The sequence below is a fragment of the Homo sapiens genome, chromosome 5 (assembly GCF_000001405.40).
Source record: "Homo sapiens chromosome 5, GRCh38.p14 Primary Assembly".
In the NCBI taxonomy this organism is placed as follows: Eukaryota; Metazoa; Chordata; class Mammalia; order Primates; family Hominidae; genus Homo; species Homo sapiens.
In genome coordinates, this window is record NC_000005.10 from 90082145 (window position 1) to 90108147 (window position 26003).

General features: G+C 36.8%; 1 annotated feature.

Moving 5' to 3' along the window:
* Nucleotides 14548-14842: an enhancer, noted in NCBI's record as "tiled region #6868; K562 Activating DNase unmatched - State 9:DNaseU". NCBI's record gives its function as "activates a minimal TATA promoter and a strong SV40 promoter by Sharpr-MPRA in K562 cells {active_cell/tissue: K562}" and the evidence as "EXISTENCE:reporter gene assay evidence [ECO:0000049][PMID:27701403]".

The following is a 26003-nucleotide window of genomic DNA, read 5'->3' on the forward strand; positions in this document are numbered from 1 at the left end:
TAATATGCATATTCCTTTGCAATGCAACTTTGCCATTCATTGCTCCCATTAGAAAATCTAGTGGAGTCTATTTCCGTACACTTCAGGTCTCGTCTTAGATATATGATTTGCTTTAGCCAATGGGACATCAGCAAATATAAAGCAGAGCTTGAACAGTGCTTGCTGATTAGGGCTGGCCTTCCCTTGTGTGGTGAACCTCTCTGATACCTTATAAAGAAGCACAGGATAGCCTCAATGAGAGTTAAGAGGCCATATGGGAAGAGGCTCCAGATGTCCCAGCTAAAGTACCAGATATGTAACAAAACCATTCTAGACCATCCAGGTTAACCCAAACCAGCCCAGATGAGACACACTGACTTACCAATCCACAGAATTGTGAGATTAAAAAAATGTAAGTGTAATGTTTTAAGCCACTAAACTTTGAGGTGGTTTGTTAAACAGCAAAAACTGATAGATCCAAAAATTCCTTTCACAGAAACTGTGCAGTAAGGGTCAACACATTCTACCTCCCATCTGCTCAGTGAAGAACAAACTTACTGTATAGTCCTTGGCATCTGGTGTAAATTTATCTTATTCACTTTTCTCATTTTTTACAGTAATTCTCTTAAGTCTCATCAGTGATTTTCTCCTGAAGGAGTCCAGACCATTTTTTAAATTTTGTTTACTACACTTTAACTACATTAATCCCTAGTTTGCCATTACTGCATGTAATTTTTTATAACAGGAGCAAAGCTTTCAATGAAGTCCTTTCTATAAGAGCCCCCCAATTGAGAAGTGCCTAAATCCCCATTAGGGGAATAGCTAAATAAATTATGGAATTTGATGGAATAATATTCAGCCACTGAAAATTATGGTTTTTGAAAATATTTAGGAACAATGAAAACACTTATACTGTAATATAAAGTGAAAAGAGTAGGATTCAAAATTATGAATATAGCTATTCATATATCCATACAAAGAATGAAGGACATACATTGGGATTTTAACAGTAGCTATCTCTAGATAATGATATTTAAATGATTACTTGCTGGCTTCTAAAATGGTTTTCTTGCCAATCTTATACAATACATATTTATTATTTTTATAAACAGGAAAAAATTGTGTAAATCATAGTCTCACTTTATCCCATGTTTCTCCAAATTAATCTTTAAAATTTATTTTGTAAATTACATGAATCAATATTTAAAAGTAACAAGTAAATCTTCTTTCAGCCTCTAGAGTTTAAACTGAAACCTCAAGGCTTTTTTCAAGAAAGTATCTAATATGGACACTATAGTAGGTAAAAAATTTAAAACCAAATGAAATATAAATGAAGAAATATTGAGAGATACTACAGCCTCAACCATACAGGTGCATTCACTCTGTTTTTAGAAATGACAATCAGGACTATTGGGAAAATGGCAGATAGGAGACAGGACTGATGTGCAGCTCCTACTTGGACAGACAGAAAAGCGTCTAGAGACTCACATTCTGAACTTTTGCTCCAAGAACCACTTCAGGAACATACCAGGAAAACCAAAAGAATTCACAGACCCTTTGAAAGAAGCAGCTTGCCACTGCAAACACAGTGAGACAGCTAAAAAACTGTGAGTTCCCGGCTGGGCACGGTGGCTCATGCCTGTAATCCCAGCATTTTGGGAGGCCGAGGCAGGCTGATCACGAGGTCAGGAGATCAAGATCATCCTGGCTAACATGGTGAAACCCCATCTCTACTAAAAATACAAAAAATTAGCCGGGCGTGGTGGCGGGCACCTGTAGTCCTAGCTACTGGAGAGGCTGAGGCAGGAGGATGGCGTGAACCCAGGAGGTGGAGCTTGCAGTGAGCTGAGATGGCACCACTGCACTCCAGCCTGGGTGACAGAGTGAGACTCTGTCAAAAAAAAAAAAAAATGTGAGTTCCCAAAGTGTGACAGGGGGGAAAAGTCACCTCCTAACACACATCCTCACTGAGTAACCTGAAAATCCAGATGACGGGAGGAGGATTTAACCTTACTTAGAGCTGAAACAGATTTAGGGAGTTGAGTGAAATGTAGAAGCAGCAGCAGGAAGAGCCCTGTAGGCAATCCCAGTCCACAGCTCGAGTTCAGGGAAGCCATTCCTGGCCTTATCTCACAGAGGTCCTTGGGGAAATTCCAGAAGGCAGGTAGTGGAGTAGGGGAGGGGCCAGAGAGTGAAGGAAGCTCCTAGCTGAACTCTGTAATAATTTCGACTGAGCACAAATTTTCCTGAAGAGAATCCCGGGGTGTGAACGAGAAGTGCAGATATGAATGCAGAAGCTGCAGCAGTAGGTGCAGGCAGACAGGGAGGGTCCAGGCCTGAGATCCCTGCTTTCTTTCTCAGCAGGGAGGCTTGTAGCCTGGGGCAAGATCTCAGCTGGCTGGCTGCCTGAATATAAACTCAGTGAGCCTGGGGGTGACATGGTGGGAGTGAGACTGTCCCAGCTGGCAATGTGGGAGCTGGGTAAGGCCTGTCACTGCTGGCTTTCCCCTACTTCCCTGTTGACCAGTATGATGCAGCAGATGCAGCCATAATCCCCCTGGAAACATAACTCCAGTGGCCTGAAATCCACTGCTGCCAACCCCTGCAGTGGCTGCAGCAAGCCCTGCCCAAGAAGAGTCTGAGCCCAGACCAGCCTAACCCTTCCCCTACCTGATAGTTTTTCAATACCTGCCCTGGTAGCTGAAGACAAAAGACATAAACTCTTGGGAAACCAATGGCCCCACCCATCTCCTGAGAAACCCAAGTATGCATCCCAGCCAACATAAGGCAAGATTATATCCTCCTCTACTACCACAACTGGTAATTTCTTGAAAGCACCACCTCCTGCTGGAGGCCAACCAACTCAAGCCACTACAGTAACTCACAACAGAATAACCATGCTCCAAAAGGGAGAAAACAACACCAAATTCAACCACCTGCAACACACTGGCTAGCCAGAGGTCCTGAGTCTGTCCACATGACAACTTTACTGCTTGCATAACCAGCATTTGAGGAAACCAGCACACAAAGCAAAACTACAACCAAAGACCCCCACAGAGTCCACTTCACTCCCCTGCCACCTCCACTGAGCAGGTGCTGGTATCCACAGCTGGTAGACCGGAAGATGGATCACAGAACTCTTTATAGACATTTCCTAGCACCCGCATATAGCCTGGTAACCCTGCTGGGTGGCTAGACCCAAAAGGGCAATAACAACCACAGCAATCTGGCTCTTAGGAAGCCCCATCCTTAGGGGAATGGGAATAATACCACATCATTGATCCTGTGGGACAAAAGAATCTGAGCAGAAGCCCTTGATTTTAAGATCTTTCCACTGAAACAGTCTACCCAAATCTGAAGGGACCAGAAAAGTAGTTCTGGTAATATTACAGAGTTCTATAACACCCCCCAAAAATCACACTAGATCTCCAACAATAGATCCAAACCAAGGAGAAATCTCTGAATTGCCAGAGAAGGAATTCAGAAGGTTGATTATTAAGCTACTCAAGGAGGCAACAAAGAAAGGTGAAAACAACTTAGAAATTTTTTTTTTTTTTTTTTTTTTTGAGATGGAGTCTCGCTCTGTCGCCCAGGCCAGACTGCGGACTGCAGTGGCGCAATCTCGGCTCACTGCAAGCTCCGCTTCCCGGGTTCACGCCATTCTCCTGCCTCAGCCTCCCGAGTAGCTGGGACTACAGGCGCCCGCCACCGCGCCCGGCTAATTTTTTGTATTTTTAGTAGAGACGGGGTTTCACCTTGTTAGCCAGGATGGTCTCGATCTCCTGACCTCATGATCCACCCGCCTCGGCCTCCCAAAGTGCTGGGATTACAGGCGTGAGCCACCGCGCCCGGCCAGAAAATATTTTTAAAAATACAGGATATGGATGTAAAGGTCTCCAGAGAAATAGATATCATTAAAAAAAAAATCACAACTTCTGGAAATGAAAGACACACTAAAGAAATACAAAATGCACTGGGAAGTTTCAACAATAGAATAGAACAAGTAGAAGAAAGAACTTTAGAACTCAAAGATAAGGCTCTTGAATTAACCCACTCTGACAAAGACAAAGAAAAAAAGAATAAAATAAATAAACAAAGCCTCCAAGAATTTCAGTATTATGTGAAATGATCAAATGACCAAACTTAAGAATAACTGATGTTCCTGAAGAAGAAGAGAAAAATAAAAGTTCGGAAAATTTATTTGAGGGTATAATTGAGAAAAATTTCCCTGGTATAGGTAGAGATCTGGACATCCAAATATAAGAAGCTGAAAGAACACCTGGGAAATTCATCACCAAAAGATCATCACCTAGGCACACAGTCATCAGGTTATCTAAAGTCAAGATGAAGGAAAGAATCTTAAGAGCTGTGAGATAATAGCATCAGGTAACCTATGGGGGAAAACCTGTAAGATTAACAGCAGATTTATCAGGACAAACCCTGCAAGCAAGAAGGGATTGGGTTCCTATCTTTAGCCTCCTGGATTAAAACAATTATCAGCCAAGAATTTTGTGTCTGGTGAAACTATGCTTCATAAATGAAGGAGAGAGAAAGTATTTTTCAGACAATCAAATGTGGAGATAATTTGTCACTACCAAGCCAGCACTACAAGAAATGCTAAAAGGAGTTCCAGATCTTGAAACAAAACCTCAAATTACACCAAAATATAACTTCCTTAAAGCATAAATGTCACAGGGCCTATAAAACAATAACACAATGAAAAAAAAAGATATTCCAGCAAGAACCAGCATGATGAATAGAACGGTACCTGACATCTCAATACTAATGTTGAATGTAAATGGCCTAAATGTTCCACTTAAAAGATACAGAATGGCAGAATGGATACAAATCAACCAACCCAGTATAATATCTGCTGTCTTCAAGAGACTCATCTGACATATAAGGATGCACATAAACTTAAGATGAAGGGGTAGAAAAAGATATTCCATGCAAATGGAAACCAAAAGCGACAAGAGTAGCTATTCTTATATCAGACAAAACAGACTTTAAAGCAACAACAGTTAAAAAAGACAAAGAGCAACATTATATAATGATAAAAGGATTAGTCCAACAGAAAAATATCGCAATCCTAAATGCATATGCACCTAAAACTGGAGCTGCCAAATTTACAAAACAATTACTACTAGACTTAAGAAATGAGATAGATAGCAACACAATAATACTGGGTGACTTCAATACTCCACTAACAGCACTAGACAGGTCTCGAAGGCAGAAAGTCAACAAAGAAACAATGGACTTAAACCATACCTTAGAACAAATGGACTGATTTACAGAACATTCTACCCAACAACTGCAGGATATACATTCTTTTCATCAGTGCATGGAACATTCTCCAAAATAGATCGTATAATTGGCCACAAAATATGTCTCAATAAATTTAAGAAAATAAAAATTATAAAAAATTTAAGAAAATAAAAATAAAAATAAGAGTACTTAATAAAAAATATTAAGTACTCTCTCAGACCACAATGGAATGAAATTGGAAATTAACTCCAAAAAGAACGCTGAAAACTATAGAAATACATGGAAATTAAATAATCTGCTCCTGAATGCTTTTTGGCTCCACAAGGACATCACAATGGAAATTTAAAAATTCTTTGAACTGAATACCAATAGTGACACAACCTATCAAAACTTCTGGGATACTGCAAAAGCAATGCTAAAAGGAAAGTTAAGCATTTAATGCCTACATCAAAAAGTCTGAAAGAGCATAGACAGTCCGAGATCACACCCCATGGAACTAGAGAAACAAGGACAAACCAAATCCAAACCCAGCAGAAGAAAAGAAATAACCAAGATCAGATCAGAACTAAATAAAATTGAAACAAAAAAAACACAAAAGATAAATAAAACAAAAATTTGGTTTTTTGTAAAGATAAACAAAATTTGTATACTTTTAGTGAGATTAACCAAGAAAAGAAGAGAGAAGATCCAAATAAGCTCAATTAAAAATGGAACAGGATATACTAATATTACAACCAATACCACAGAAATACAAAACATCATTTAAGGCTACTATGAACACCTTTATCTACACAGACTGGAAAACCTAGAGAAGAAGGATAAATTTTTGGAAATACCCAACCATCGTAGATTAAACCAAGAAGAAACAGCAACTTTGAACAGACCAGTAACAAGTAGCAAGATTGAAACAGTAATAATAAAATTGCCAACAAAAAAAGTCCAGGACCGGATGGATTCATAGCTGAATTCTATCAGATGTTCAAAGAAGAAATGGTACCAATCCTACTCAAACTATTCCAAAAGATAAAGAAAGAGGGAATCCTTCTTGAATCATTCTGTGAAGCCAGTATTACTCTAATACCTAAACCAGGAAAGAACATAACAAGGGAAAGAAAACTATAGACCAATATCCCTGATGAACAGAGATGCAAAAATCCTCAACAAATTACTAGCTACCAAATCCAACAGCATTTCAAAAAGATAATCCACCATGATGAGGTAGATTTCATACCAGGGATGCAGGGTTGTTTTAACATACACAAGTCAATAAACGTGATACACCACATAAAGAGAAGTAAAATCAAACATCATGTGATGATCTCAATTGATACAGAAAAAGGATTTGACAAATTCCAGCATTGCTTTATGATTAAATGCCTCAGCAAAACTGGCATAGAAGGTAATAAAAGCCATCTATGACAAACCCACAGCCAACATTACACTAAATGAGGAAAAGTGAAAAGCATTTTCCTTGAGATCTGAAACAAGACAACGATGCCAGCTTTCACTACTTCTATTCAACATAGTACTGGAAGTCCTAGCCAGAGCAATCAGACAAGAGAAAGAAACATCCAAATCAGTAAAGAGGAAGTCAAACTGTCCCTATTTGCCAATGATATGATGTATACTTTGAAAACCCTAAAGACTCATCCAAAAAGCTCCTAGATCTGATCAATGAGTTCTGTAAAGTTTCAGGATACAAAATCAATGTACATGAATCAGTAGCACTGCTATACACCAACAGCCACTAAGCGGAGAATCAAATCAAAAGCTCAACCCCTTATACAACAGCTGCAAGAAACAAAAAGATAACAACAACAACAACAACAAAGAACCACTTAGAAATATAACTAACCAAGGAGGTAAAAGGCCTCTACAAGGAAAACTACAAAACACTGCTGAAAGAAATTATAGATAATACAAACAAATGGAAACACATCCCATGCTCATTGATGGGCAGAATAAATACTGTGAAAATGACCATACTGCCGAAAGCAATCTATAAGTTCAATGCAATTCCCATCAAAATACCATCATCATTCTTCACAGAACTAGAAAAAACAATTCTAAAATTTGTATGAAGCAAAAAAATAGCCCATGTAGCCAAAACAGTACTAGGCAAAAAGAACAAATATGGAGGCATCACATTACCTGACTTCAAACTATACTACAAGGCTATAGTTACCAAAACAGCATGGTACTGGTATAAAAACAGGCATATAGACCTATGGAACAGAATAGAGAACCCAGAAATAAAGCCAAATACTTACAGCCAACTGATCTTTGACAAAGGAAACAAAAACATAAAGTGGGGAAAGGACACCCTATTCAACAAATGGTGCTGGAATAATTGGCAAGCCACATGTAGAATAAAACTGGATCCTCATCTCTCACTCTATATAAAAATCAACTCAAGATGGATCAAACACTTAAATCTAAGACCTAAAACCATAAAAATTCTAGAAGAAAACATCACAAAAGCTCTTCCAGATATTGGCTTAGGCAAAGACTTCATGATCAAGAACCCAAAAAGAAATGCAACAAAAACAAACATAAATAGATAGGACTTCATTAAGGTAAAAGGCTTCCTCATAGCAAAAGAAATAATCAACAGAGTAAACAGACAACCCACAGAATGGGAGAAAATCTTCACAATCTATACATCTGACAAAGGACTAATATGCAGAATCTACAAGCAACTCAAACAAATCAGCAAGAAAAAAACTAAATAATCCCATTAAAAAGTGGGCTAAGGACATAAGTAGACAATTCTCTAAAGAAGATATACAACTGAGCAACAAACAGATGAAAAAATGCTCAACATCACTAATTATCATGGAAATGCAAATCAAAACCACAATGCAATACCACCTTACTCCTGCAACATTGACCATAATTAAAAAATCAAAAAATAATAGATGTTGGTGTGGATATGGTGAAAAGGGAACACTTTTACACTGTTGGTGGGAATATAAACTAGTACAACCACTATAGAAAACAGTATGGGGATTCATTAAGGAGCTCTAAGTAGAATTACCATTCAATCCAGCAATCCCACTACTAGGAATCTACTCAGAGGAAAAGAAGTTATTATATGAAAAAGACACTTGCACATGCATGTTTAGCACCAAAATTCACAACTGCAAAGACATGGAACCAACCTAAGTGTCCATCAACCAATGAGTTGATGGCATTTACAGCAACCTGGATGGCAGGTTGAAATTCACAGCAACCTGGATGCAGTTGGAAACCATTATTCTAAGTGAAGTAACTCAGGAAGGTAAAACCAAATATTATATGTTCTCACTTATAAGTGAGAGCTAAGCTATGAGGACAAAAGGCATAAGAATGATATAATGAACTCTGAGGACTTGCAGGGGAAGGGTGGGAAGAGGGTGAGGGATAAAAAACTACATATCGGGTACAGTGTACACTGCTTGGGTGATGGGTGCACCAAAATCTCAGAAATCACACCTAAAGAACTTATCCATATAAACAAACACCACTTGTTTCCCAAAAATTATTGAAATGATAATTTTAAAAAACAAAGATAATAATCAGTCACATCGTGAGGCTTTTTTCCTCAAAATGTTATTTTTTGATATAAAATAATGTATAAAATTTATTAGTTAGACTAACCTAAGTGTCCATGAAAAATAGTATTTTCATTATATATTATTTGAGCAAAGACACAAATATTGTACTCTTAGTAATACACTTGTTTTTCATAAGGATATAGATAACAATTGTAAAACTACTTGTGTATTTAGGATTTAGCAAAGAAGTAAGTATACCATGTGTAAGGAGAGTCAAATACCTCATTGCCAGAAGAATTTACCAGTAAGGTAAGGGAGAAAGTTAGAATGGACATATGTTTTTGGATTAGAATTGGATGTTATCAGTATGAACATATATTTTTAAAAGTGCAGATAGATATAGAAGTGCAGATAGATATAGATAGATATATAAATTGTATGTAAGAATGGGTGCATGCACGTGCATACGCACATATGCACTGAGGTAAACACAAATCACTTCACTATTCTTGATAACAGTGAATAATATGAATTTGAACATGAGAACCTCATTCAAATATCTCAATCTAAATTCAAATTGAGATATATTTATTCTGTAAAATACTATTACTCTTAGAAGATACCAATATCGAGAATAGAAAGCTAAGACTGAAGAACTGCTCATACTCGCCAAAGCCAAGGAGACATGACAACTAAATGCAGTTTGGGAATTCGGGACTGGGTCTTGGACCAGATAAAGAACACTAGTTGGAAAACTGGAGAAATTGAATAAGGACTGTAGATTGGTTAATAGTAATATATCAATATTAATTTCCTGGCTTTGATGGTTTTATTATGATTATATAAGATGTTAACATATGAAGAAGATGGGTGAAGGAATTCTTTATACCATTTTTGGAGGTGTTTTGTAGGTCTGGAAATATTTCAAAATTAAAAGTTAAAAAAAGTTTTAACGTGGAGCAAGGAAATTTTATTTTGATGTCATGCAAATTCTCTTCTAAAAATTATTCCTATATCTGCATTTAATTGTCATTTTATCTTTTTTAATGACTTTCCTTGCTGTAGCATTAATGCCTCTATAAGTGGCAAAAGGAATAAAATCTCACCATTTCTTCTTCCAATAATTTCCTTCTCTCCTTTTCAAATTGACTTATGTTATTCTCTCACTAAACCTGTTAAGAGAGAAATTCTTACTAATTTTTCTAAAATTTTATGTATTACACAGCATTTTGTAAACTTCTAACACCATTGAAATACTATAATAATGTGATTCTGGACACGGTGGTTAAATAATTACTACTATCTTGATAGCTACTCAGAATAATGTAGTTAAAGCATTATTCTAAATTCTATAATTAAATAATTAGACTTGTCTTGCTTGCATGCTACTTTTCTTATTATCTCTGTTTTTCTTTACTTTTTCTTCCTGAGGCAATTCTGACATATCTCTGGAATGTGCTGGGGTTTTATTTTTGTTTGTTTTGGTTTTTTGGTTTTTGGATATTTTTACTGTTTCCTAGAGTGGGATCATTTCATTTTTCAAGTGATTTTCTTTTCTTCTTTTTTCTTTAGTTTTTCTTTTCCCTTTTCTTTTTTAATTTAATATACATAATGCCAAATTATCATCAGCCTTTTTTAAATGTACAGTTCAGTAATGTTAAGTGTATTCACATTGTTAAACATGTTCTGGAGATTGGTTCATTTCCTTTTTTATTTTTATTCATGTACCCCCCAAAAATACAAAGCAAAGATGATTTGTTTTATTCTGGAGAATCATTAAGGAGAGTGTATTTCTCTTTTTATAAACCACTTTTTCAGGCATTTCAAATTAGCTACATGAGATATGAATAAAAGTATTAGAAGTAATTTTGAACTAAAATGATTAGAAACAAAAACCAAGCTTGGAGAAGCAGAGAGCTAAAACACAGTTACGTGCCTCTCGTATAGAACTTGTCTATCCAGTGAACTCAACTGTCCAGACTACAACTTATGAGATAAGTATGTAAATAGAAGGTCTCTAAGGGAACAAAATTAATGTTACACAATCCATGTCTTAAAGTTTGTATGTCTCAGGTACAGAAGCATCTCATGCCTTCATTTAAGAGTTACTCCTTACTTTAAGGGCAAAATTACTACAAGCTACAAATAGAAAATACGAGATAAAAAAGAGGGACTCTTGTAGGCAATATTGGCTCTATATTGCAAAAAGGGTACATGTGGAAAGAAGCAGAAAAAAACATGAAAAGCAGACACAATAATATTATAAATAAACAGAAAAAAATGGGTGTATTGTTAAGGAATAAAAGTGTCCTTCACATCTCAAAATTCCAAGGGGCTATCATAAAGTTAAAAAACATTATGACAACTGACACTTATAACAATATTGTCAGTATATTCTACTTTTAAATATAAGGGGTGAAAATAAATTCTCACTAAGTGATTTCTATGTTTTGGTATTGAGAGGTTTAACTTATATGATACATGCTGCATTTTAGAAGCCTTTCCATCTAAAAAATACAGTGGCTTTTGCTTTGTATTTCCTCTTTTGTTTAAATTTTGGGCACTTCACACCAATGTGGGAGACAGACTTATGCAAGGAGTTTGTACCATAATCATTATTTTTCCAAAACCAAATGTCACACAACTAGTTATTCTAGTTTTCCAATTAAAAAAAATCACAACGCCAGTAATGAGAATCCTATTATTTCAAAGTGTATTTTTTCCCCAAATGCTGACATTCAGTTAAAATTTTACTAGACATGTAGCATTGGAACAAGATGACAAAGGTAAACACTAAAGAAAAGTCTGGAGAGATCAGATGAAAAATGCTTCAAGACATTCACTGGGAAATGACCAAGGTCATTTATGGAAAATGTTGTCTCAAGTAGATGCCATTGGACAAATAACAAAGGCTTAAAAGGAAAATACCAATAAAACTTGAGACTATGAACTATGCGAGGTCAAGAATCCTGGCTCTCTTCAGCACTATATTGCCAATGCCTGTCATATGGAGCAAAGAAGGTTTAAGGCAACGTTAGGACCTGGCCTGGATGCTTTCCACACACTATTACTCTTCTCATTTTCTTAGTGTTCCAGTGAGCTAAGAATATATGACACAGGAAGCAAGCACATTTCCTTTCTGGATTTTAAGTAATTTACTGTAACGGATCCTATAGATCTAAAATGGCATTTTTAAAAATTAGCTCACAAAACCTCCCCAGAGTTTTTGTAATGAAAGCTTTATCAGACATTTTAATGAGCACACCAGCACCATACTAACTGCTGTGTCCACAGAGCATTATTTTTGTCCTAGCCTGCCCTATGTCTGCTTTGAATACATTCAGTGAAAGAAATTTCACAACCTGGGTCCTCTGTATTCAATGTTGCAAGCTGAAACATGAATAACTGGCATTTTTCATTCTTGTCTTTATCAAAATATGTTGAGTGTCTACTATTACCAGTGACTCTATTAAACACAGGAAATACACTGGAGAAGAAAACACAGAATCTTGTCTTACAAATCTTATACTTTGATATGGAAGATACAGGCCCCCAAAAAGCAAGAAAATTAACAAATAAGAAAAATTATAAGAAGTACTGGAGGAAATACATGGGGCTGAAATAAGAACAACAAAAGGAGGTAAAATGGAATACAACTTAGCCAAGAGAGGCTTTCCTGAAGAGGTGACATTTAAGCTAAAATTTGAAGAATGATGCAAAGCTCAGATTGAAAAAACATTGGTGAAGACCACCACCTGAAGCAGAAAGGACCTTGCCATGTTAAGGAATTGCAACAAGACCAGGACTGCTGAAACCTAGTGAAGAGACCATAGTCGAGAGTGGGGTTTTTCTCTTAAAAGCTTTGAGAAGCCATGGAAGGCGGTTCGAGAAGGGATTTACATACCAAATTTATAGGACCTACTTATATAGGATGTATTTTCTTAGCTCCTAAACTAAATTAAATAAATACTGCTAATTTGAATTTGATTTTCTCTAATATTTTCCATAAAGTATTTGAAAAAAAAAGGTTTCACTAACCATTATTGCTTGAATTTGTTTATGCTAAAGTCAAACTCAATTTTAATGGCTGCCTTCCAGGGACCACTCTTTACTGAACTCATAAAACTCACATCACAACCACTTACATCCTAGCAGAGAGCCCTGCTTTCCCTCTATTCTCTTCATAAGCACGGAGACATACCGTTCCCACTCTAATATAACAAAGTACATTAACAATCTATACCAAGGGGCTCCATTTGTTGTGTTGGCAGTTTTTGTTCTTCCTTTCACCTCCTTAATGAGGTCCAGTTCCACTCACTGATGTCCTATAGCAGTCAGACAAACCAACATCTCACGTTCTGCCAGGAATCAAAAATAACATTAATTGCTTTCTATACTGTGTATCTATATTTAATGATAATGGATAATATCTCCAATAACTTTTTCTCAAAATTTGTTTCTCCATTTCCCCTTCCTTTGGAAAAATGCCTTCCTGAGAGTCTGTCTACATAGCTTGTTTTAAGAATGTAAATGCTGAGTCACCTTGCAAGTCTTATATGAAAATGAGTCCACGTAAGTGCTTTAAAAGATCCTAATTTTACCACCTGGAATGAGAATGAGTCCCACATAATTATTCAGGAGAGTTCTCTGTACAACCCCCAACTGGGAACACATGCAGCTAATGTGATTCTGCTCATGGACTCACAGATGTCCTGGCACTTCCTCAAGGGAGCAAGATTCTTTCCCCAGGGGACAGGACATTTCAGAAAAGTTATAGAGGGAGATACCTTTTTCTTCTACATCCACAAGGCTGCATAATTTATACCTTCTAGTACCGGTTAATCCACACCTGTGGTACAGTTCTGATTTTCCTAGACCTTTTAGATCTACAGTTTTTCTGAAGTCACATGGAAAGGTGCCAGAACAAGGTACAGGGCATCACTTCTTACACCATTCCCCTGCAGACGTTTATGACTCAGTATACCCTAAGCTAGACTAATATCTCTTTGTCATAACTTTCTGAAGATATAGAATGAGATAATCTATGCAAAAATACCTTGAAAGATACAAAGTGGTGTGCAAACTTAAGGTTTATTTAAAACCATTTATTTAAAACCATGGCTTATTTATCTTTGTATTCCCAATATCTAACACATTACTTGGTATACAGTAGGTTCACAGAAGATTATATGTATATATATGTATAATATATATAATAGTTATATATTTAACTATATATGCACATATATACACACACATAGAGAGAGACAAAGAGGGTTCTAAATCTAATAAGTACATTTGAGTATTGACAGATTTAGTTATCCTTTTTCTTCCTATTTTATTGTTATCATAACAAAAGTATTTAGCATTTGTCTTTGGTGTTATCACACCTCACCTGTTCCATGATCCTCTCATGTTACCCCAGCTTTCCCCAATATACAAACATATATTATGCCCAAGGCCTTTCTTGTTGGCATAGGGTATTCCCCACACAATCCTGAGCCCCTCAGATTTGTTACCACCAATCTTTTTCTTCCCACTTTCCTATCAGCTATTAAGTGGAGCAGAAATTCAAGTCCAGGTCTGTCTGTAAAGATCTTTTCACTAATCTCTACCCCTTCCCAAGAAATTCCTGGTTCTGATGACTCAATATTGCTGGAAGGACCTTCCTGGTATCTCTCATTTCACTCTTCATGTGGCACTGCCTCTCCCTCTTTGAGTGAAGCCAGTACTACTTAGAAGTCACCTTTATATGTCAGAAAGCAAGTGCGTCAAACTTTTAGAAACAAGGTTCGGGTGTCAAATTGAAACAAAAGCAAAGTACAGATTCAGCTGGGGACACAAATCCTCTCCTGAAATCATCCTCTGTTATTCATTCTTGCACTCTTAAGCCAGTGAGTGTGAGTGTCAGATTTGAGGAATCTTAGATACAGGAGTTGTGTTATCACCCCATGACTCAGGAGCCGCCCCTGATGAGTCACACATTGCTTCTGTCAAAGCAGTCAGCAAGGAGGCAAAAGTCATCAAATACGCCGAGAGCTCAGTATCGGTGATGGTGTGCAGCTTTTCCCTGTTTCTTTGAAGGACTCATCAAGGCCATCATCAATTGGAGCACAAAGAATGTAGGATGGATTTGTATGAGAACTTAGAGTACACAAGTTGTGGGAAAGTAAAATTGCCCAGTGGTAACATGAAACAGGGGCCTCCCAATTTTTTATTTATTAAGAAAAGAAAAAAAAAATCTTCTTTCCCTAAAGTTTTATCAGGTTGGGCTGGAGAAAAGACTGCTAAAAAAGGAACAGACTATGACAAGATAAAGATCACTCAGGCACAGTGACTCACACCTGTAATCCCAGAACTTTGGGAGGCCGAGGAAGCTGGTGGATCGCTTGAGCCCAAGAGACCAATCTGGGCAGCATAGTGAAACACCGTCTTTATTTAAAAATACAAAAATTAGGCCAGGCACGGTAGCTCCCAGCACTTTGGGAGGCCAAGGCAGAGGGATCACTTGAGGTCAGGAGTTCAAGACCAGCCTGGTCAACATGGAGAAACCCCATCTCTACTAAAAATACAAAAATTAGCTGGGCATGGTGGTGGGTCCTTGTAATCCCAGCTACTCGGGAGGCTGAGGCATGAGAATCGCTTGAACCCAGGAGGCAGAGGTTTCAGTGAGCCGAGGTCGCGCCACTGCACTCCAGCCTGGGTGACAGAGCAAGACTCTATCTCAAAAAAAAGACAAAAACAAATACAAAAATTAGCTAGGCGTGGCCGGGCACGGTGGCTCACGCCTGTAATCCCAGAACTTTGGGAGGCAGAGCCGGGCGGATCACAAGGTCAGGGGATCAGGAGATCGAGACCATCCTGGCTAACACGGTGAAACCCCATCTCTACTAACAATACAAAAAAAAAACAAAAATTAGCCGGGCATGGTGGTGGGTGCCTGTAATCCTAGCTACTTGGGAGGCTGAGACAGGAGAATGGTGTGAACCCGGGAGGCAGAGCTTGCAGTGAGCCCAGATCATGCCACTGCACTTCAGCCTGGGTGACAGAGCGAGACTCCATCTCAAAAAAAAAAAAAGAAAAAAAATTAGCTAGGTGTGGTGGTGCGCATCTGTAGTCCCAGCTACTGTGGGGAGGGTGGGAGGGGGCCTGAAGTGGGAGGACCACCTGAGCCCAGGGGACCCAGGCTGCTCTGAGCTATGACCCTGCCACCGCAACTCCAGCCTGGGCGATAGAGACAGACCCTGTTTCCAAAAAAAAAAAAAAAAAATCCTCCCAAACCCACCCCCAGGGTCCCTCCCAAACCCCTGCCTACAACTTAAGGAACTGTAATTGCAACAAGCCATTATATGTGGGAACCTATCAGTACAATTTGATGTGTTGGTTAGAGACTACTTAAAGTACATTTCTTAAGAGAATTTTAAGAAAAGGTACGCATACAGGTTTCCCAAATGCTTGAAATGTTGTCTTACTTAAAAGTAGAAAGGGAACTTCACTAGGTAAGTTTTGAAATTCTTTGCAAATCTAAATAAAAGTATAATAGAAATATATGAGACATTTGTTCTGAATATTTTTGTTGTTAATAATTATATTCTGTGAAGCTAAAACAAGATAAATGCTACAACAGGAGAGATGTCTTGAAATCTGGAGTGTTCCATGCAGCCATCTGAATTGGCCGTGTAAGCTAATAATTTCAAGCCAAAGATATTCTAGGGAGATAACTGAATATAGTCATGTGTTTGTTTTCCAATACCTTGAGCGTTGTCTAATAGAAATGATATGACCCACTTCAAAAAAGTTCTATAAATATTTATATTATTGAAATTAATTTCAAATTAAACTAACATATAGAATGCTAACTACTACTTGAGTTTCTTAAACGTCTTCTATTTTTAGTACAGCATAACTGTTTAATAGCTGGTTTTAGATCCCCAAACTGCACTACAGTGTTGGGGCAGGGGACCTCCTAAAAAGAGTATTACAATAGACATACATTTTATAGGACTTATTTATCTATCCTCCCTGGAAGACAGCATTGCAATGAGATTTTATTTCTTACTCTCATCCAGGGCTAGAACTTTATCAGGTCCCTGCCAGAGCTGAGTTCTGCTAGTTCCAGAAGGAAATCCTGTAAGTGGTTTAGTAAATGTTAAATAGAAACTGTGGGATATCTGAGTACATGAAATTCAAAAGTAATAGCTTAGTAATTCAAAAAAGAACCTCTGTGTCTCTCATGACTACATGTTAGGCTAAGTAAAAGATCCCTATAGTTTTAGCAGCTCAAATCCCACCCTACTTGCCACAGTCTTAAGCAATGTCTTCTCAGCAGCATTAACAAAAGCAAAGTGTGAAATATTTGCCTATTTCCTCATGGAAGGTCTCAACCCTCACTTACATGTGTTTGTTTCTTTGGACTCTGATCAAAACAGTTTCTGAGATAAGTGTCTAGTCATATCATTACACATAAAAATAGTTTTGATTTTTTTTTTTTTTTTGCCTGCCTGCAGACATTTTGTCTTCAACACCTCAAGGGCTTCAGCAAAACAATCTTTGCTCTTTCCAGTAATAATGGCCCAATTCAGTCAATCATAAATTTGACTCAAAAATGGCAATTCAATTTGGCTTCAGCTATACAAATTAACCCAAAATCTCCATAACAAGGAGAATATTTTGCAGAATGGAATAGGGAAAAAATACCTTTTTCCTTTAATGAAAAAAATGTGAACCTCTCAAATGGAGTTTAATACAAGTGATCTGAATTGGGTTTTAGTTTCAATCTCAGGTATTTTTTCCTTTTTACAGAAGACATAAGAAATAATAGTTATTTGCCTAAAATTTCATTGAAAATTATTTAGTTTAATCTTTCCTAGAAAGTCTGCAACTGATTCTCTAACTCAAAATTTTACTTGAGTAGGTAAAGCACTAAAACAAAGTTAATGCTACTTAACACTCATTTTATCCACAAGACTGTCCATATTAAATAGAGTTCAACTGTCTGTATTTTAAAGCATCAATCATTATTGTAAAATAAGTAGAATAACACTTCAGATATCTAGAACTCAACTATACAGAAACCTTACTTATCAAGAATACAAACAAGGATCCCAGAAGTTTCCAAGCTGCCAAAATAGATGCCACAAAATCAGTAAATAAAGCATGTGTCTAATATTTCAGGGGCAAGGAAGAGGTTTGCACCCTTTCTCTCTAGTTTTTCTGGCCAAGGAACTATGCATGAAAGGAACAACTGCATGGGAAATGAACACAATATTAGTTTCAAAAGGTCCATCTGGTCTGTCTTTACTAGCCCCCTGCACAACTTCTCTCATTAAGAGCAAAGTTTAAACATGAGGACTCCAACAAGAATCCTGTTCTCTTCCTCAGAAAACTAAGATTTGGGGGTCTCAGAATAGACCAAACATGGTGAAGTCACAGATGTAGAAAAGCCGAAACAGCAAGAGACAATGCAGGAGTTAGCACTAATGAGCCAGGTCTGTTTCTGGAACCTATTTGATCTGTTTAATACAAGAAAGTAAGTGAAAGGTTCTAGGGATAGGATATGGAAATGCATGGGTCATGGCATTGGAGGTATAGTAACACTCTCTACTTTAAAATATGACCCAATAAATGATCTGTGTTTTACTCAATTACATTATCAACTCCTCTCATAGGATATAAACAAGGAAGAAAAGAATAAAACTAGCTTGCTCCAACAATTTACTTAACACATTACATTGAAAGTAATGCCAAAAACCATGATAACTTCTGCACCAATCTAATATTAAGCTAAGACTCAGCATAAAGTAATATGGAATGTGCAAACTGTGGTAGGGAGAAGAGAGAAGATCAATAGGAGAACAATTTGAAAGTCAGGTCCATGGATAGCAATGAGCATTGAGAGTGTAGTTGAAACAGAATGAAGTATAACAGGCATTTGTGTATGCCCTTAAGCATAACCCTATGAACTCATAGTGGAGACAAAATAACTTTGCCCCTGCATGCTTCAGTGTGTTAGGAGTCAAAACATTTTCTAAATGTATGCTCTAGTTGTATGGTGAAGTCATGTAAATATTTACATGAAATAGTGTGTATCGTAACAATACCAGTTAATTTATATTTGTATACATTTAAAGTTTCTTTGGTAGATATGTAGATGGATAGATGAAAGAAAATATAAGTAGACAGGCTTTTGTGAGTAGGCAAATTTAAGACTTATTCAGTCATGGGGAACTAGAACAAACTAAATAGAAGAATTCAAGTGTTAAAATTCTTATTTTCTTACTTACATGTCTTCGTTTGCCATATTTTCCATATGCAAATATTTCTGGCAGGCTCAGTGCTTCTCTTATGATCTGAACCCTATATATGCTTTATAATTTGACTCTAATAGCATGGCTACTTAGGTTCTAATAAAATTCTACATATATGTCATACATTAAATTCATCCAAGAAATCATTATGGATTTCTCACGTGCAGAATGATTTATCACGTGGGTTGTACAAGCCCAGATTTTAATTTTGACTTGTATTGTTTCCTACATAGTAATTAGATAGAAAATTTAATCTAAATGCAAAGAAAATTTTAGATAGAGGAAAAGAGAGAAAGACAGTTAACAACAGAAATCCACCTAAGGTTTCCCAAAGCACATAATAACTATATTTTGTATATTTGTATTCCACATTATCTACGTTATTTGTCCCTGACAAGAAGAAGGATAATAGAGAGTTAACTTAACTTTTTAAAAATACAGTTGACTGGCCGGGCGCGGTGGCTCACGCTTGTAATCCCAGCACTTTGGGAGGCCGAGGCGGGTGGATCACGAGGTCAGGAAATCGAGACCATCCTGGCTAACACGGTGAAACCCCGTCTCTACTAAAAATACAAAAAAATTAGCCGGGCGTGATGGCGGGCGCCTGTAGTCCCAGCTACTCGGGAGGCTGAGGCAGGAGAATGGCGTGAACCCGGGAGGCGGAGCTTGCAGTGAGCCGAGATTGCGCCACTGCACTCCCGCCTGGGCGACGGAGCGAGACTCCGTCTCAAAAAAAAAAAAAAAAAAATACAGTTACTAACACAAAAGCAACCACTGAATTGTGAAACTCTGTAGTAATTCTAGCCCAGCTTTCTCAGGCATTTTCGCTGTGTCCAATAATGCATATCACTGATAAAATGCTAGACACGTATCTTCATTAACTTGAATTCATGGGTAAAATAGTATAGCCTTTGGAGACAAAAGTTAAGCCTACCATACTCTACTGTGTTTTGGTCCGAGTACTTGGAATCCATGGTTTGAACTTCTCTTTAAAAGTTGATACCTGTGGGATGTAAACAAAAATGGGTTCAATTTGTTCTGAATATTATCTACAGTTGAGGTCGTGAAAATCCACCTAGGTCATTAAAGGAAAAGAGACACTTTTCAAACCCAAATCATCTAAATATCAATGGGCCAATTCCAGGATACCAATAATCATAAAGATGAGTTACCCTAAAAACACTAGAAGCCTACCACCAATTGTTATTTGTTGAGTTTGTTCATTTTTCAGTCTTTATGGAGTGAATTAGTCAAATACATCCAAAATTACCAGAAGAATTTAAGTGGTTCATTTATTTCCCTCTTTGTTCGCTTTTGAGAACACAGTTTCTAAGGTTTCATCATGTCTAGGTTGGTACTTTTAAAATTCACAGTCTTGGCACCAAAGTTGGCCACCAGTATATTTTTATTTTCTTATGGATCTGTTTGGTACTAGATACATTCAGCTTTCTCAGCCCTGTTAGGCTCACATTATTTCAAAACACACCTGTTCATTGTAGAAATTTTGGAATATCCTACCACTCTTGAGTCACCCCATGTATGCTAATTCAGTTTCTTGTAAACGTGAAATTCATGCAGTAAGGCGCTCAACTAACATAAGACTTATAATCAAATCTTTGCCTTTAAATACTATATCTCTTACTTTCCAAAGAGCATTTAAGTAGGGGGGTCTCATTACCCTGTCTTAAGAACGGGTCAATAATTGAAAAGAGTTTCTCAGCCTTAATATTAGTAGCTCAGAGAACTGGGTAATCTTAAACTGAAAAGAAATATGACAAAAATTAGAAAATTTGAGGTCCAGAAAATGGACAGATTGACAGTATTAGAGGCAAAATCTGTAGCTGAACAAGTATTGAAAGATGAATGTGTTCTCTATTATTTCCTTGAGCAGTGATTTGTAATTCTCTTTGAAGTGGTCCTTCACTTCCCTTGTTAGCTGTATTCCTAGGAATTTTATTCTCTTTGTAGCAATTGTGAATGGGAGTTCATTCATGATTTGGCTCTCTGCTTGTCTATTGTTGGTGTGTAGGAATGCTTGTGATTTTTGCACATTGATATTGTACCCTGGGACTTTGCTGAATTTGCTTATCAGCTTAAGGAGCTTTTGGGATGAGACAATGGGGTTTTCTAAATATAGAAACATGTCATCTACAGAGACAGTTTAACTTCCTCTCTTCCTGTTTTAATACCCTTTATTTCTTTATCTTGCCTGATTGCTCTGGCCAGAACTTGCAATACTATGTTGAATAGGAGTGGTGAGAGAAGGCATCCTTGTCTTGTGTTGGTTGTCAAGGGGAATTCTTCTAGTTTTTGCCCACTCAGTACAATATTGGCTATGGGTTTGTCATAAACGGCTCATTATATTGAGATATGTTCCATCAATACCTAGATTATTGAGAATTTTTAACATGAAGGGATATTGAATTTTTGAAGGCCTTTTTCTGTGCCTATTGAGTTGATCATGTGGTTTTTGCCTTTAGTTCTGTTTCTGTGATGAATTACGTTTATTGATTTGCGTATGTTGAACCAGCCTTGCATCCTGGGGATGAAGCTGACTTGATTGTGGTGAATGAGCTATGCTGCTGGATTTGGTTTGCCAGTATTTTATTGAGGATTTTTGCACTGATGTTCATCAAAAATATTGGCCTGAAGCTTTCCTTTTTTATTGTATCTCTTCCCGGTTTGGGTATCAGGATAATGCTGGCTTCATAAAATGAGTTAGGGAGAAGTCTCTCCTTTTCTTTCTTTTTTCTTTTTTATTATACTTTAAGTTCTAGGGTACACAGGCACAACGTGCAGGTTTGTTACATATGTATACATGTGCCATGTAAAGTCTCTCCTTTTCAGTTGTTTGGAATAGTTTCAGAAGAAATGGTATCAGCTTCTCTCTGTGCCTCTGGTAGAATTCAGCTATAAATCCAGCTGGTCCTGGGCTTTTTTTTTTCTTTTTTTTTTTTTCTATGGAGTCTTGCTCTGTTGCCCAGGCTGGAGTGCAGTGGCGCAATCTTGGCTCACTGCAAGCTCCACCTCCCAGGTTCACGCCATTCTCCTACCTCAGCCTCCCTAGTAGCTGGGACTACAGGCGCCCACCAAATTGGTCCTGGGCTTTTATTGGATGGTAAGCTATTTACTACTGCCTCAGAACTTGTTATTGGTCTATTCAGGGATTCAACAGCTTCCTGGTTTAGTCTTGGGAGAGTGTATGTGTCCAGGAACTTATCCATTTCTTCTAGATTTTCTAGTTTATTTGCAGAGAGGTGTTTATAGTATTCTCTGTGGGGTTGCTTGTATTTCTGTGTGGTCAGTGGTGATATCCCCTTTATCATTTTTTATTGTGTCTATTTAATGCTTCTCAATGGAAAAACATTTCATACTCATGGATAGGAAGAATCAATTTTGTGAAAGTTGCCATACTGCCTAAAGTAATTTATAAATTCAATATTATATCCATTAAACTATAATTGAAGGCATCATGCTACCCAACTTCAAACTATATTGCAAGGCTACAGTAACCAAAACAGCATGGTAATGGTACCAAAACAGACACATAGACCAATGGAACAAAATACAGGTCTCAGAAACAAGACCACACATCTACAACCATCTGATCTGTGACAAATCTGACAAAAACAAGCAATGGGGAAAGGATTCCCTATTTAATAAATGATGCTGGGAAAATTGGCTAGCCATATGCAGAAAACTGAAACTGGACCACTTCCTTACACCTTATACAAAACTTAACTCAAGATGGATTAAAGACTTAAATGTAAAACCCCAAACTAAAAAATCCTAGAAGAAAATCTAGGCAATACCATTCAGGACATAGGCACTGGCAAAGATTTCATGACAAAAACATCAAAAACAATTGCAACAAAAGCAAAAATTGACAAATGGGATCTAATTAAACTAAAGAGCTTCTGCACAGCAAAACAAACTATCATCAGAGTGAACCTACAGAATGGGAGAAAATTTTTGCAATCTATACATCTGACAAAGGCCTACTATCCAGAATCTACAATTAACTTAAACAAATTTACAAGAAAAAAAACAACCCCATCAAACAGTGGGTAAAATATATGAACAGACATTTCTCAAAAGATGTACATGCAGCCAAAAAACTTATGAAAAAAAGCTCAACATCACTGATCATCAGAGACATGCAAATCAAAACTACAAAGAGACACTGTCTCATATCAGTTAGAATGGTGATTATTAAAAAGTCAAGAAACAATAGATGCTGGCAAGGTTATGGAGAAATAGGAACAACTTTACACTGTTGATGGGAATGTAAATTCATTCAACCATTGTGGAAGACAGCATGGCAATACCTCAAAGATCTAGAACCAAAAATATCATTTGACGCATAAATCCCATTAACTATCTTATACCAGTTAGAATGGTGATTATTAAAAAGGCAAGAAACAACAGATGCTGGCAAGGTTATGGAGAAATAGGAACGCCTTTACACCATTGATAGGAATGTAAATTCGTTCAACCATTGTGGAAGACAGCATGGCAATACCTCAAAGATCTAGAAACAGAAATACCACTTGACCCAGAAATCCCATTACTGGGTACATATCCAAAGAAATATAAATCATTCTATTACAAAGATACATGCATGCGTATGTTCATTGCAGCACTATTCACAATAGCAGATATGGGATCAACTCAAATGCCCATCAATGATAGACTGGGTAAAGAAACTGTGGTACATATACACCATGGAATACTATGCAGCCATAAAAAGGAACAAGATCATATCCTTTGCAGGGAGATGGATGGAGCTGGAGGCCATCATCCTCAGCAAACTAACACAGAACAGAAAACCAAATACAGCATGTTCTCACTTATAAGGAGGAACTGAACAATGAGAACACATGGATGCAGGGAGAGGAACACCACACACTGGGGCCTGTTGTGGGGCAGAGGGAGGGAGAGCATCAGATAAATAGCTAATGCTTGTGGGGCTTAATACCTAGGTGAAGAGTTGATAGATACAGCAATCCACCATGGAACACATTTACCTATTTAACAAACCTGCACATCCTGCACATGTATCCTGGAAAATAAATTAAAAAGTTAAAATTAAAATTAAAGATAATTTAACATGGAGAAAAAGAAAGATGAATAAATCTCAGGCATTGTTGCAATAATGTTTATGTGATAAGTATTCATTTTGAGAAAAGTTACATTTGAATGCACTAGGCTGTAGTGTCTCAACTCTTTTTTTCCCCCGCATTGTATTCCACATATCAGATGATGCTTATATAAGCTACACAATTCCATGGAAAAAGTTTGTTCAAAAAACAGGTTTCAAAAAAGGAAAAGAAAAGAAAAATCAGAAAAATATTGTTTTTTTTTATGTTAACATAGAATTCAAAAAAGTGTTTTTAAAGCATGAGAATTAAATCATATTTTTAAAGATCTCAAAAATTATTCTTAAAAAGAAATAAATGTGGCTAATATTGTCTTTAGTATGAAACATTTCTTAAATATGAATTTTGAACTTTCTAGAATTCAACAAATATCAATGTTAGTAATTATAATACTAAAGGATATTTGTAAATAAATATTTTTATTACAATATATAGAATGTACAGGCTGTAACCTCTTTTTATATAAAGAGCATCATTCTTCTCAATAAGACAAATATGTATTTAATATTGTAAGCACCCTTGCTTTATCTAGTCTCATCTTCTTTTCATTAAAAACTTATTCATGGATAAAATTTAAAAGACAATGGAGGTAACTGTTACGTCAAAATTTACAACTGCTACAAAACTGCCTTAAGCACACACTGTTAACCTTGTGGTAATAGTGACCACTCACTAGAGGGTACTGAATCCGTGTAGTTCTACCTATACATTCAAGCTCTACCTATAACTTCTGTTGCTCCTCTCAAAACATGTCAGAATGTACCTGAATGCAAGAGATTTCACTGTGGGAATAACACTGAATCCTTTTAGATAGATGAAAAGTTGTCATTCCTGAAGGTATACTTTGACTATTATTAGTAATAGTGTACTTGCTGCCCTGCTCAAAGATACAGATATTGTGGTAGCTGCCTCAGTTGAGAGCATTGTCACGAAACTGTTAGCTCCTTGACTTTCCAGTATTGGGTCCTATTCATGTCTCCACCAGCATGTGGTACAAGTAGGGCACATTGTCAGCATTCAATAATTGTGGGTGAAACTCAACTCCACTCCATTAGGTGAACCTACCATTGAAGAATGGTCTCCCTTAGTTAATTGCAAATGAATCCTGCCAAACACAATTTCTTCCTCCAGACTGGCTGTCAGCACTTTTAATCCATAGAAAAGTAAGCATGCTTACAAAGGAAAAAAACAAAAACAAAACAAAACAAAACAAAAAAAAAACAGCTTACTTTCATAAAGTTTTGGAATGATTCATAAATTTTTTATAAATATGTGATATTTTGGTCTTCTGCATTTTGTCTTGTCTTTATCGAGATTTCATCAATGCAGAGAGAGTGAGGTGGTTGCTTACATTTGAAAGTTTTGTGTTTGTAAATGTGTATGTGTTAGAAAAAGCATTGTCTAAAAATGTCTCTGGAAGAAATCCAGTAATAGAAAGATGTTGATTCTATGTGAACAATGACATGACAGGTACATCTTAAAATGTGAAATTCACAATTTAAATCCTGATTCTTGAGGAAGAGATTTTGTTTCCAACCACGGTATCCCAACTTCTCACAATTAAGATTTCCAAAATAACTTTTTAAACCTCTGGAATTTTAATAAATGGGCCCTTATTCTTCAATCCTTTTTCCCATTCAAGAAACAAAATTTTCAAATCCCTTCTCTATCTCAGTTGAATGCCTACAATAGTCAATACATAATATTAATTCACCAAATGTTTTAAAAACTATTTTAAATGTTTACAAAACTTTGCG